Below are 13,833 nucleotides of genomic sequence, written 5' to 3' on the forward strand. Positions count from 1 at the left end.
CAATAATAATAATAACTTTCACTATAGAGTCTCTGTATGTGCCAGGCACAGTTCTATGTGTTTATACAGATAAACTCAGTTAATTTATATGCCCCTCTACAGTAAAAAAAAAAAAAAAAAAAAAATCCTGTGAGGTGGATACTGTTTTTAATTCTTCCTTACTGAAGAGGATAGTCTTTAATTAGAATAATTAACTTGTCCGAAGTTACTGAACCAGGTGTGTTTATTCGCTTAAAATAGGGTCATGTGTTAAAAAAGTCTTCAAAGGAACTTAGAAGATCTGAGGCTTAGACAAAATGATTGGGAGAATGATTGAGATAGAGTAAGACAGAGATGTCCTCCCTCTCTGCTAGAAAAAGATTTCCCTGGCTGGGTGGACTGCCTGAGAGCAAGGCGCTGGAATAAGAGCAGACGTGTCAAAGAGGCCCAGGCAGGGGACTCCACAAGGTGCCTCCCAGCGAGTTCTGGGCAGGTGGCAAAGCCCAAGAAAGGCTTTTTTGGTGAAAACCCAAGGAAGATGTCAAAAAAGAAATGGCCCCAGTGATTCCAGGACTCTTAATGGTATAGAAGTCACAGGAGGATTCTCAGGGTCTTCAGAAGTAGAGCTACGAGACCTGAGAGGCCGAAGGACAGAAACCAGCACCATTTCACGGCGCACAGGTTCTATCTCCAGCCTAAAATCACAGAGGCCCATAGACATCCCAGCAGATACCTGCAGAGCCAGGTGACCTGAGAGAGCCACAAACCCTCCCTGGGGTCCCCGTCCCCTTCCCATGCTAAGACAATCCCCAAGAAAAGTTGAAAGAAACACAAAATTGACTGAGATTAAGGTTCTCCTGTCCTCATGGAGTAATGGCTTAAAATAAGAAAGTGGATGCCTTGTTGAGAAATATAGACAGTTGCATTTCTTGTCCATGGCTTCATGCTATGCATGTCAGGAGGCTGACGTGAATGTATCTGATGCATTCATTTGAAGCTTTACCACTTCTATAGAATTATTGCTGTACTGCTGTGAAGAAACTTTGTTTTCTTCTCTTTTGAAATAATTGATTTTATGATAGGTTATCTGACTTTTAAAACTATCTGCTCTTTATGTAGTAGATTGCTATTCAGGAATATCAATGGTGGGAACCATTCAGGGCATCTGAGTGACTGCTAAAGTTTGGAAAGCCCCCCTTAAAAATCACATTACATCGCAAAGACTTGATATGTATGATTTAAATAAAGCGTAAAAGAAATGTATGCTATCAGAAGTCAGAAGAGTGGCTGCCCTTAGGGGTGGGGGTGTTTACTGGAAGGGAGGATGGGGGAGTATCTGGAAAAGTCATTATTATGAATTGAATTATTTTCCACCTCCTTTCCCCTGCCAAAAATATGTTGAAGTGTGATCCCCAGTACCTGCAAATGTGATCTTATTTGGACATAGGATCTTGGCAGATGTCATCAAGTTTAATTCAATATGACCAGTGGAGAGGATACCCCGAGATGCATACACACAGAAAGGCCGTGTGAAGCTGGAGGCCGAGATTGGGATATGCATCAATGAGACAAGGAACAGCATGCACTGCCAGCCATCACCAGAGCTCGGAGAGAGGCACGGGACAGATTCTCCCCCATGCCCACCAGAAGGAACCAGTCCAGCCAACACCTTGATGTCAAACTTCTAGCCTCAGAACTGTGAGACAATAAAGTCCTGTTTGCAGCCCCCCAGTTGGTGAGACTCTGTTTCAGCAGCCCTAGGAATTGAACGCACAGGTCACGTTCTGTCTCCTGGACTGAATGCTGGTTACACGAGAGCTTGTGAAAATTCAGTGAGATGTGGACTTACCAATTGTGCATGTTTTTCTTGTATACAACACTTGAACAAAGGAATCAAAAAATATATGTCACAAAGCAGATGCTTGGAGGAAGTGTTGGAAAAAGCCCTTTCTTGCACTTAGCTGGCAGAATGAATTCCACTCTTCTGTGGTCACTACCTTCCTGTGCTTTGGAAGGTACTTTGAGGGGAACCATGTGAAAACACGATGTTCAGAAACGGTCACAATAGAAGCCATGCAGAGAAAGTGAGTGTAACTGAGAGGGCTCACATCTCACGGAGAACGATGGCCCTCTCTTAGAGGACAAATAAAGGGAAACAATGGTTTGTAAATGGGAAGGAAATTTGATTTCTCTTTCCTTGTGCTTATCTGTTCACCTGATCACCACTGTTGTGTCAGCTGTAATTGGAACTCGTTCTTTGCCAGGCCCTGCGGTTGGGGGGATTTGCTCACTTCTAGCAGCCCCCGACTTTGTTTCCTAGCAGATGCCCCCTGTTTGTCATGGAAGCTTCCACAGATAAGAGAAAAGGAGAGTGGAAGGAAGCGTAAAGAAGTCTGAGCCACAGGGAGTCCCTCCAGACCCGGGAAACACTTGGAAACTTTTCTTACAACTGTCACTGGTATTAACTTCTAACCCATTAAACTCGCTTACAGGATAGCTTTAGTCAATGAAGCAGGATATGGCCTTTTCTTGGCCTCTCCATTTCCAATTCCAGCAAAATGAATGAAACACAAAAAGTTCACAAGGGGATCGGCTGGGGAGGCAGAGCTGGGAGTTGGTGTCGGAAAGAGCTTTTAACTGGCCTGACCGTTACTGTCCTTTCCCATTTCAACTTTTATCTGCCCATTAACTCCTTAAGTGTGCTCATCCATCCATCAAAAAGAAAAGAAAAAAAAATCCCAAATGATGTGTGAAAAGATCTTCTGGGTGTTGCTAGGTCTAGCGTGTCATCTCCTAAATTTGTCCAAACGTGATTGGCTTCTCATCGAGACAAAATGACTCTGTTTTATGAATGGTCATTTGTGATTTCTTAAAACTTTTATCTTTAAGATTTCTTTGAAGTATTTGAAATTATTTCTGTTTCTAACAAAATGAAGAGGTAACTTCCCCAAAATATTGCAGGGTGAATTTTTATAAATGAAGAGTGTTTATGATCAGTTTTCAGCGATTGTATAAGGATTACTTATACAATCTCACACGACTTTCTTTGAAGTGTGTCAAGTTAATGATTCTGCTTATGGTGTAAGGACAAAGTATTTAATAAAATATTTAGAACTTTGATTTATAAAATAAAAACAAGCTAATTGTTTATAGGCATCCATATCTATTTGCTAAATTTATATGTGATAGGTCTTTGCTCAGATCGTTGCTAACAAAATTCTGTTGAGGTCCAAAAAAAAGTTAATTCTTGATAGTAAAAGGGATCCAGCTGACAGGGTTCAGTAGCTAAGAAATTCAAATAGAAGTAGCACTCAATCTGGGTCAAAGGTATTCATTCACTCCATTAATTGATATAACATTCAATGAAGTTATTAATATAAGAGATGTAAAAGATTAAGTCCCTGCACCAAAATCTCTACAGTCTTGGAAAAGATGTGAATATCAGATTAAAGCAACCTAAATACACTTCAAGACAGATGTGAAAATCTTATAATCTGTACATAGTAATTGCTGAGATGATGAAAGTATACATAAAATGTCCAAGAACTTGAGACAGATGCATTTCCTTCATGATCGTTACACAGAGGTGACAACATCTGATGTTTTATATCATTGGCCCTTCTCATTTATCCGGGCTTTGTGTCCCCACCCACAAAATAAGATTTAACTTCTAGATAATCTCTTTACAGCCATTATCTCCTTTTACTACTATTATCTCATGATTATTGTTTGGAGCATGAGAACAATTTCTCATATAGAAAATAAAGAGGCCAGGTGTGCTGGCTCATACCTGTAATCCCAACACTTTGGGAGGCTGAGGCAAGCAGATTACTTGAGGTCGGGAGTTCAAGACTAGCCTGGACAACATGGTGAAACCCTGTCACTACTAAAAATACAAAAATTAGCCAGGCGTCATGGCGAGCACCCGTAATCCCAGCTACTCAGGAGGCTGAGGCAGGAAAATGGCCTGAAACCGGGAGGTGGAGGTTGCAGTCAGCTGAGATCGCACCACTGCACTCCAGCCTGGGTGACATAGTGAGACTTGGTCAAAAAAAAAAGAAAGAAAGAAAGAAAGAAAGAAAGAAAGAAAGAAAGAAAGAAAGAAAGAAGGAAGGAAGGAAGGAAGGAAGGAAGGAAGGAAGGAAGGAAGGAAAGAAAGAAAGAAAGAAAGAAAGAAAGAAAGAAAGAAGGAAAGAAAAAGAAAAGAAAGAAAAGAAAAGCGCAGTTTGGTCACATGCCTTTAGTACAGTGTTATTTTTTAGGACAAAGCTCATTTTTTACACTGAATCATCTGTTTACAATATTAATAAACTGGCATGTTAGGGCAAGGGCTGCCTAGTATATGATGAGCAGGATGTGGACAAGAATCAGAATCCAAATTCAATTTTAGACACAACCACTATTTAACTTAGCTCAGCAAACAGAATTCAATATGTGCCAAGCACTGTGCTACGTTTTGGGATTTGAGGATCAGTATCCTCTGCATGTATTTATGTGCCTGGTATGGCCTATATTTGCCACCTATGTCTAGTTCACTTTCTTACCTAGGATCTCCCTTAGAGTAGGAAACATGACATCATTTGAATGAAAGTGAATATTAGAGGAAGGCCTGGCTTTGTAAGAGTCCAGTCCGATAAAGAAGATGAGTGTGGACACAACTATGACAGCATCAAACTGAGCACACTCAGACACAGAAACACGTGCACACACGGTCTAGAGATGGGTGAGCTAATTCTGGCTCCAGGAGTGGGCTGGATGTAGGCGGGGAAGGGGATTCAGTTTAAGTGGGGGGACGGGGGCGGTTTAAGTGGGGGGACGGGGGACCCTTTTATGTAGAAAATGATGCTTTCCCAGTTAACTAATTACTCCAGAAACCCTCGAAACTGTATTTCCCACTCTCAGCACAGCTCTGCAAGTGTTCATAGCCACGCTTTCAAGTAAACAAAGTAATGTCACACTCATGATGGAGCGATGTCTGTCCAGGAGACTCTTCCGGAGCTAACAGAAGGCACAAATAGGAGCAGCTCGCAGAGCTAAGGCCAGGAGGTAGGTCAGGTGCATGGTGACACTCGAGAAAGGTGAAAGCACAGCAGACCTCCTTGCCGTAAAACTGTGCCTGCAGCAAGGCCTGAGCACAACCATATTGGAATGTGAAGATCCTGCAAGTCCAGCATGCTGTCTACACAGCTGCCTTGTATTTAAATTGTTCAAAGACTTCTTTTCCCCCTAATCTGCTAATTCCTCAATTCCTCTGGTGTTGAGATTCCCAGAAAAGTCCTCTCAGGAGAGCTGATAACTCTATCCACACTAAGAACCAGCAAGCACTTTTGTGTGTTGGGGGGTGGAGGCGGGGTTGCGGGAGGCAGGCTGGAACACTATTTTTTGTCTTCTTTTTCCTCTATATTTTTCCCTACCCAGGATTCCAGCAGGCAGCTATTGCTCTGGGAGCCTTTGCCTGAGGAAGCTGTGCAAGGCTAGAAAATAGAAGCTGCTTCTTAAAGCTCTGATTTTCATTTGCAGAAGTGTAAGTATGTGCAGAGCGAGACTGCCCCGATTGCACCTGGTGGGCTTCGGAGAGCAGGCAGAGAGCCCAGCTGAAGGAAAAAGCTGTTCCCAGAGTCAGGGGAGGAAGGAGTTCTTTGGTCCTCGACTTGCAGGAACCTGCGCCCTGGCTACGTGGAGGTGGCTGAGCCTCCAGACCTGCAAGGACCACATGAGACCTGGAAAGATCTCCACAAGCCCTGGGGACAGAGGATGACACAGTAGTATCTAAGATTGCATTCCCCAAAATGCTGGTGCCCTGGGGTGGGGGTCAAAGCCAGGGAAGCCAGTTTACAGAGAATAAAGTAACATTTCTTCCCCACTTCCTTCTGTTGGCTGAAAGTAATTCCTTCTACAATAATTATGTTATATTTACTGTTTTACATAAAACACAATGAGTTCAACTGATCAATTTTCAATTTATCAATTTATCAAAATAAACATGCTTATAAATGGATTTAATTTAAGCCTAGTTATTGGGGGAAGTGGGAAAAATACCTATAGCTTCCAACAAACTTCTGTTCCTTCATTATTTAATATATTTCATATTTAATAATGTTAATATTTCGTAACAGAGCAACAAGGGAAAGAAACCAATTTTTTTTTTAGTGCAGAATGTTATAATTTTAAGATGTAAGAGTTTCTTTTGAAAGTTATTTTGTAGTCTATTTTATATTTTGAGCTTTTTATGACAAGAACATGATACGCAGAAAGATCTCTTTAAGTATTTTTGTTGGATGGCTGATTTGATTAATGAAGGGAACTTGCAGTTTATTGGAGTATACAGTGGCACAAATTTGGGAAGGTGACTTCACAACATTAACAAGCAGCTTAAAATTATTCATAGCTTTTGATCCTGAAGTCCCATTTCTAGGTATTTGTGCTAAGGAAATAATTACAGATATATGCAACAATGAACAGAATGCTCAGCTGAGTGGGGTTTAGAAAAAAATTTTAAAATTAGAAAGAACTCTAATATCTCAAAATAAGACCCCGGCCAAATAAGAATGGCCCATTATATAATGAAATGCATTCAGCCATTATAAATTACGTTTGTATAAATTATGTGTTTGTTGTATATTCTTAAGATAAACTCAGGTATTCAAACAGATGAGATATCCTTTCTCTACCCAATCTATCTGGCTTGTGTGTGTTTATGGGATTTTAATTTTCTCCTTTTTTACATGTATTTTCTTAATTTTCCTCAATGGCAAATCATTACTACTAAAATAAGAAAAAAAATTAATAAAATATGTAAGACTAAATTTTAAAAAGAAAAATGTGAATATAGGTTGTCACATTTCTTTTTGTTCAATAAAAAGAAAAAATATATTAAAAAGGATAGTGATTATCATGTATCAGTCGAAGTTATCTTTATTTTGCTTAAGATTTAGTAACAGACTTTAATCTCAATAATACTTTTTTAATTTGTAAAGAGTATTTTTTAGAGCACCTGCAGATATACAGAAAAATTGAGAAGATAGTATAGAGAGTTCTCATGCAGCCTCTCCCATTTTTCCCTATTACTAACACTTTACATTAACACGGTACATTTGTTACAATTAATGAACCAATATTGATAGACTGTTTTAATCAAAATTCCATAGTCTCTTTAGATTTCCTTAGCTGTCACCTAATGTCCTTTCTCTGTTTTGGAATCCCATCCAGGATTCTACATTACATTTGGCCATCACGTCTCCGTGGACTCTTCTTGGCTGTGACAGTTTCTCAGACTTCCCTTGTTTTGATCCCCTTGACAGTTTGAGGAGGACTGGCCAAGTATTTTGTAGAATGTCCCTGTATTAAAAATTGTCTGATGTTTTTCTCATGATTGGACTGGGGCTTCAACAATATATTCAAAACAATCCTTCTCACATCCTGCCCTTCAAAAAAAAAAAAATCATACCCTCAAACATAACAAAATCCCCCGGCCTCGACTCAGGATGATGTTATGTATCTTGTAATTCATTGACAAAAATGCAAAATGACACTAAATACTGCAGGCTGCAGGCCTTTCCATTAGTAACCTCACCCCTAGGTACAAATAAACATCATTTAATGGAAGTTCCATCCATGCAGGAGCCTGATCTTTGGCCTCCTGGGTTACAGGACGCTCTTGTTAGTTCCCTCCAGCACCTCCTCCACATTTTGAATTTTAATGGGGCTGGGAAACCTGTGGGTTAGAAGTGTATTGGTGTTATTTCCTGTTTCCACTTCAGTTAGCCTCCCAACTTTCTGATTTGACATGAATTTCAGGAGTGAACGCAATGTACACAACCGGGAACAAATATCTAATTTTTTTCTTCTTTAATATGGCAACTTTTAAAAGATGGTGCAACTTTAAAAATAGCAAATATTATCACATTATTAGGAAGGAAACTTTTTATAAAACTTGAAACGTACTAAGAGGTCCAAGTCACATATAAAGTGCTTGCAAAAACTAGTTTTTTTGCTCACTGCCTAGTTTTTGCAAGCACTTCATAAATGCTGAGTTCAGGTGTTCATATGCCTACCCTTTACCAGGAGAGACTGTTTCTCCTGGTAAACTCCTGTTTCTGCTCCGTGGGTTTCTCACATCCTTTGAATACTCCACATTTTATAACTGAAATCTAGGACAACCCTTTGAGCTGAGAGAGAAAAAATGATTTTTTTGTTGTTTAACATAAAATAAACATGGGTGATTTCTTTCTCTTATCATTACCCAGATAGGCTAGTATCTGAGACCTGGTTGCATCTTAGCAGGATGCCCGTGGAGAGGAATCTGGGGATGGATAGAAAACTAGTAGAGCTCATTCCCAAAGGAGTGTGTCAATCACATAATTTCTGTTGTCACCAAGAAAATGGGACCAGGTCAGCCCTAATTCAGAGACGGTTCTAGGTGATCCACCAGATATTTGTGTTGGACTGACCAATTTGTGCTGTTCTCTGCAGGCATGTGATAGGGTCCAGGCTGGGGAAGGAGCATTGCAAGAATTCCACTGGGTATAAAAACCAATACCAAGCAGTAGGGATTTGGGGAAAAATTCTAAAATCAGTATTAGAACTTAAGCACACATCAGAACACTTCAGCACTAATCCAGATCCTGGAGGAAAGCAGTCAATGGTGGGATTGGTTATAAACTGACCACACGCTGGGCTTCCCAGACGCCTCTGTGCAGTATAGAGCAGCAAGACAGATTCCAGATTGCTGACTTTTTCATATTTATTGTAAATATTTTCCCGGTTTCTTATTATCTTGATATTTTGATTCACAAACATATCAATTTTGAATTAATCTCATTGTACAATGTTCAATTTTTTTTCTGAGCTTATTGGTTTGGAAAGATCTACTCTACCAATAAGTCAAGTCATTCATTCATAGTTTACATTAGTTTTTTTCTACACTTAATTATTTTAGTCATCTGAAATTTAATTTTAATATATGGTACAAGGTGAGAATCTAGATATATTCTTTATCCTTAGGTAATTAATCACTCCCCTGCACAGACCGTTGAAGAAAGATTTTAGTTTCAAAGAGAAAAAGTAACTTGTCTTGCCTACCTTTGCATCATAAATGCCTACACCTAACATTGTGTCTGATCTATAGTAGTTGCTCAATTAAACATTTGTTGAGTAAATGAATACTTATTGAACCTGTTGCCTGTCCCTGGCATCCAACATGGTGGAAAATTCATCTGAAATGACAGAAATCTTGGGTAATGATGAATCTCTGAGGATTCCTGTGTCATAGCTAACTAGTTGATAAGTATGTGCAATTATTTCTTTTGGAGATGGAGCTATAAATCAAAGGAACACAATGATTATGCTTAGTTAGAAAAGAAAAAACTAACATTCTAAGTAGTGGTCAGTTGCTAGGAATTAATGCCTACCATCAAAGTCTCACAGGCTGCTTCCAAGTGAGACAAGCTTCTCAAAGTAATGACACCTGAGATCTGTGGATCCCTGCCCTGCCACATTGCTGCCCTCCAGCACAGCTTCCACGTGTCCCTCCCTGGCCAGCTTGCCTTGGCGGCTGTACTGAGGGAGATGTATTTCTGCTATTCATTCCCTCTAATAACACTTACTGATTACCTATGGTTGTTCTCTGTTCTTGGAATACACACTTTTATACTTTATATTTTAAGACAGTATTGTAGAGATAGATAAGAGTAAGATCACTTCCCCATTCACCACCTGTGACTTAGTTTCCCTAAGCCACAGTTTACTCATCAGCAAAATGGGAGGTAATACCAGCTAACATTTCTGTACCATCTATTTTGTGCCTGGCACTGCTCGAAGTGTCATATACATTTTAAATTATTTAGTATTCATTAACTCTTTAAGTAAGCACCATTTTTAGACCCATTTACAGACAACGAAATGGAGGCATGAAGAAGTAATTGCCTTGCCTAAGGATTAGAATCCAGGCCCTCTGGCTCTGAAGTCCATGCTCCTAACCACAGTATTAAGGTGTCTCCCAGGCAGGATAAATAGTAGCCACCTCAGGGAGTTGATGTGAGATCAAGTGAAACACCATATGCAAGATTCCCGTGAGCCTTTGATGCGTGTTAGCTCTGTGACAGGAAACATAGCCCCCCGGCTCACTGATCTTACCTTCCATAGGGAATACAGATGCTCAGACAGTCACTTTCAGTGCAGAGACAAAGGTGATAGGAGAGGAAGAAGTCCTGGAGGCTAGAGACCACATGTCAGGGTCCCCAGTCAGAACTGGGGGAGAGGAAAGGCTTCTCAGAGGGAATATTATTTGTATTAAAGCCAATTAAAGTCTGTTCCTTTTCCTGCGAAGATCTCAAGGGTTTATTTCCCTCCACAGGACCTGTTTTGCTTCCCCTTCCTCCATTCCCTTCACCTACTCTCTGCCCTTCACCTCTTTCAGAATTCTTGGGGAAACAGGATGTACCCCGGCAACCCAATCATGTCTATGCATCCCACAAACACTGGTGGGTGGGGAAGCACCACAAGAGAGGTTAGTTGAGTTACACCCACGTGCTATAAGCTGAGGAACAGATGATTGAAGGGGAAAAGGATTAAATGTTTTCAGGAACATTCAGAATTTCACATTTTACAAGATGATGTTTAATTAGTTATCTCTAGTAGTAGCCTGGATAGGTCTCATGATTTTTTTCCAAAAGCAGCTGAATCTGAGTATGGTTCCTAAAGTTATATGAATTCTGAGTAAATGTATGTATACACATCTGAAATGATACCCCTTTGGCTTACTCATAATGTTTGTTGAATGTAATATACTGAGAGACCTTTGGGGTCATTTAGTTCAACTTCAAACTCATAAAGACTTCCCTTTTAGCAGAAAGGCAATTTATCTAGTTTATCCATTTTCTCTTAAATAATTGCAGTGATGTGAAGCTCACCATGCCTCAATACAGCCATTTTGATTGTTGTATAGCTATAATTCTAAAAGTCTTGACTTACATTGACCTAAGTCTGTTGACCTTTGTTCTGTCCTCTGCAGGGAGAGAGACATAAAAACAAGCAAACATGTTTTTCTTGTAAACTCAGACAACTTCATGGTTTCCCTTTGTTCTTTGGATGAAATAATGTCAGTTGTTGACGGTCTTATTTATATTCCAGTGGGCAAGCTCTTCTACGTATGTTACCTAAACACTTATGTTTACGTATTAATCTATTTGTTTATTTTAAGAATGCTGTTGCCAAGAAACTTTTGAATAATCTAAGAAAATTGAGCATATGATACTACAAATTACTTTTAAACATAGAACTACCCCATAACAGCTAAGAATAAAACAAAACATATGCATGAGAAATGTATTTTTAACTATTGCTTTATAAATTGTGTTTATTTCAACTTAGTTGGTATAAAGATGATACCCTAGAACATGACAATAGTTTAAATAATAAGATCAAATATGACTTCACGAATAGGATTCAAGAGGAATCTCTTACAAACATATTTCCTTTTCGAATGCACTTGTTTGCTTTCAAACTAGTTTTTCAAACAATAGGAATAACAATGATAGATACGTAATAACACTTAAGCTTTATTATAATTTTTATATGACCTCTTTAGATTAAGATATACTTTTTTAACTGGCAGATACATTTAATAATCTTTTGTAAGAAGATTGTTTTCATATTCCATATAATACATTTTCATATTAACATTTCAAATTAGAAAAGGAAAATTAAAAAACTGCCATTAGAAATAAAATCTTTCTTTTAGAAATATGAAAATCTCATAAAAACCCTTAGTTGTGTTTAGGACAATTCTGGTTTAACATTTTGGCAGTAACATTCCCTCCCCTTTCATACCTACCTATTCACCAAAAGGCTGTGATATTACTTTTATTTGGTCTTAGTTACTTTGTTTGGGGATTTTTCCATTCATTCAGATGTAATGCATGGCATAATTTATGATTTATGTGATAGAGGCTCAGATTTAATCCATGGGGATTTTCATATAAGGTGTGCTCAGTGACATGTTTGAAGTTATGCTATTGAATTCAAATAACACACTTAGTTCTCAGAAATATTAATTTGATTTTAACATCCTTCCTCACCACCCAGGTTATGGTTGGTTTCTTACCTTAGGAAAATCCTAAGTGAATTTAATTAACTCATATTTTGAAAGTTTGTACATTTAGGTTTGCAAGGCAGAGATTTTGCAAACATGAGAAGCAGGGCTGTACACTTAAATTTAATCATTTTCCTATAACCTCATTGATCTGACTTTATATTTCAGTTATAATAATGCAGAATATGCAATTTTAAAACAAATTATTATTTTGAAGCACTATATTTACATGTGATGACAAATCCACTGTGTTGCTTTTATCTTTTAACTTTTGGGATATTAAAATAAAATAGCATTTTTTCTCTGCTTCACAAAGTAATTATTGTAGCATCTGTTGAAATACATGTTGGCTCTCGGGGACTTTTCAGTCTTAGGACAAATTCTGTGCTTTCTTAAGTATCTGTATTGTTATGCTCCTTTTGTTTTGTTGTTTGAGAGGAAAATGAAGATCTGTGACATCATTTATTCTGGAAACAAGCACAAGTGCGTTTAACAAGAAAAATCAAGGATGTAACTTTTGTCCCGCTGGTTTGAAAATCCAAAATCTTCTTTGCAAATAGAGCCATTCATTGGGTACAACTGGATCAAAAGTAACAAGTTTTTGTCTGTGTCTTTAGCCTAAAACCTCCCCTACCCTCTTCCAGATTAACTCTGTTGTGCCTGGATTAACCCCTAAGAATCCTGGTATTGTTTCTCTTCATTACACTTATCCCCATGTCCCCTATTGTCTTTGCTTTTCATTAGGGGAAATAAACAGTAGACGGTTTAAGCCATGATAAGCTTCTCCAGCTTGGAGTATCTATTTGAGCTTCATATTTGACACTTGTTTCCCCTTTCAATGTAAACATTCATTTTGAATCCAATAACCTTGTCAATGGAAATTGTGAATGCTAAGGGCTGAGCAGGCTGTGTGAGCAAATACCAGTGAAGTCTCATTAGTTGTACGGAACCTAGGACCAGAGATGACAGTTCTGGATCTGAATTAATGGTCTTTTGACCCATTTTACTGTAAACAAATAAGAAAGAGTATTAGCATCTGAGAACCATATCCATTTTAATATAATTAAAACTAGAACGGTATGTCCCTAGAGCTTGTCAACAACAGAGTTATGCATAATACACTATTCTTTCACTTTATACCAAATCTTTTTAGCAGATTGGAATATTACATGCATTTAACATAAATTTGTTGGCAGGGAAATGGACTAAAAGAGACAAACAGAACTGTATGCTGACTGTGGCTAGAAAAAAATGTTATTCTGATCTCCAGTTATTGTTTCAATTAAGACAGCTCTTTTTGGCCTTATCTTGATAGAAATTTGACATTGATTAGAAAGGCCATGACCATAAACCTCTGAACTAAATTCTGGGGAAGGATGAGTGATATTATTTTTCTCTTAAATGGCATGAAAAAAATCGATGGTGGTAGCATTTGATGGTGTCATAATTTGATTTACTAGCTGACCTGTTGGCCAATCTATGGCTGTTTAAAATCCAAGAACACTTCATTGGCTTCATCACACAAGCTTTGCTCTTCTATTTACAATGTGAATTTCATCCTGGCATGAGTTTAGAACCCCCAAAGACTAGTCACTCTGTCTGACTAAGTAAAAATATTTACAAAACTGGAATCTTGAGATCATGGGTTATCAACAATTTTTCATTTTTTAGGAACTTCTTCTGTTCCATTCTTCCGATAACAGTGCAGACCACTTAGAGCTTTTACTTCACCTCTCTGAAAATCATTCTCAAATGCAAATCTA

This window comes from Homo sapiens, chromosome 13 (assembly GCF_000001405.40).
Source record: "Homo sapiens chromosome 13, GRCh38.p14 Primary Assembly".
Lineage (NCBI taxonomy): Eukaryota > Metazoa > Chordata > Mammalia > Primates > Hominidae > Homo > Homo sapiens.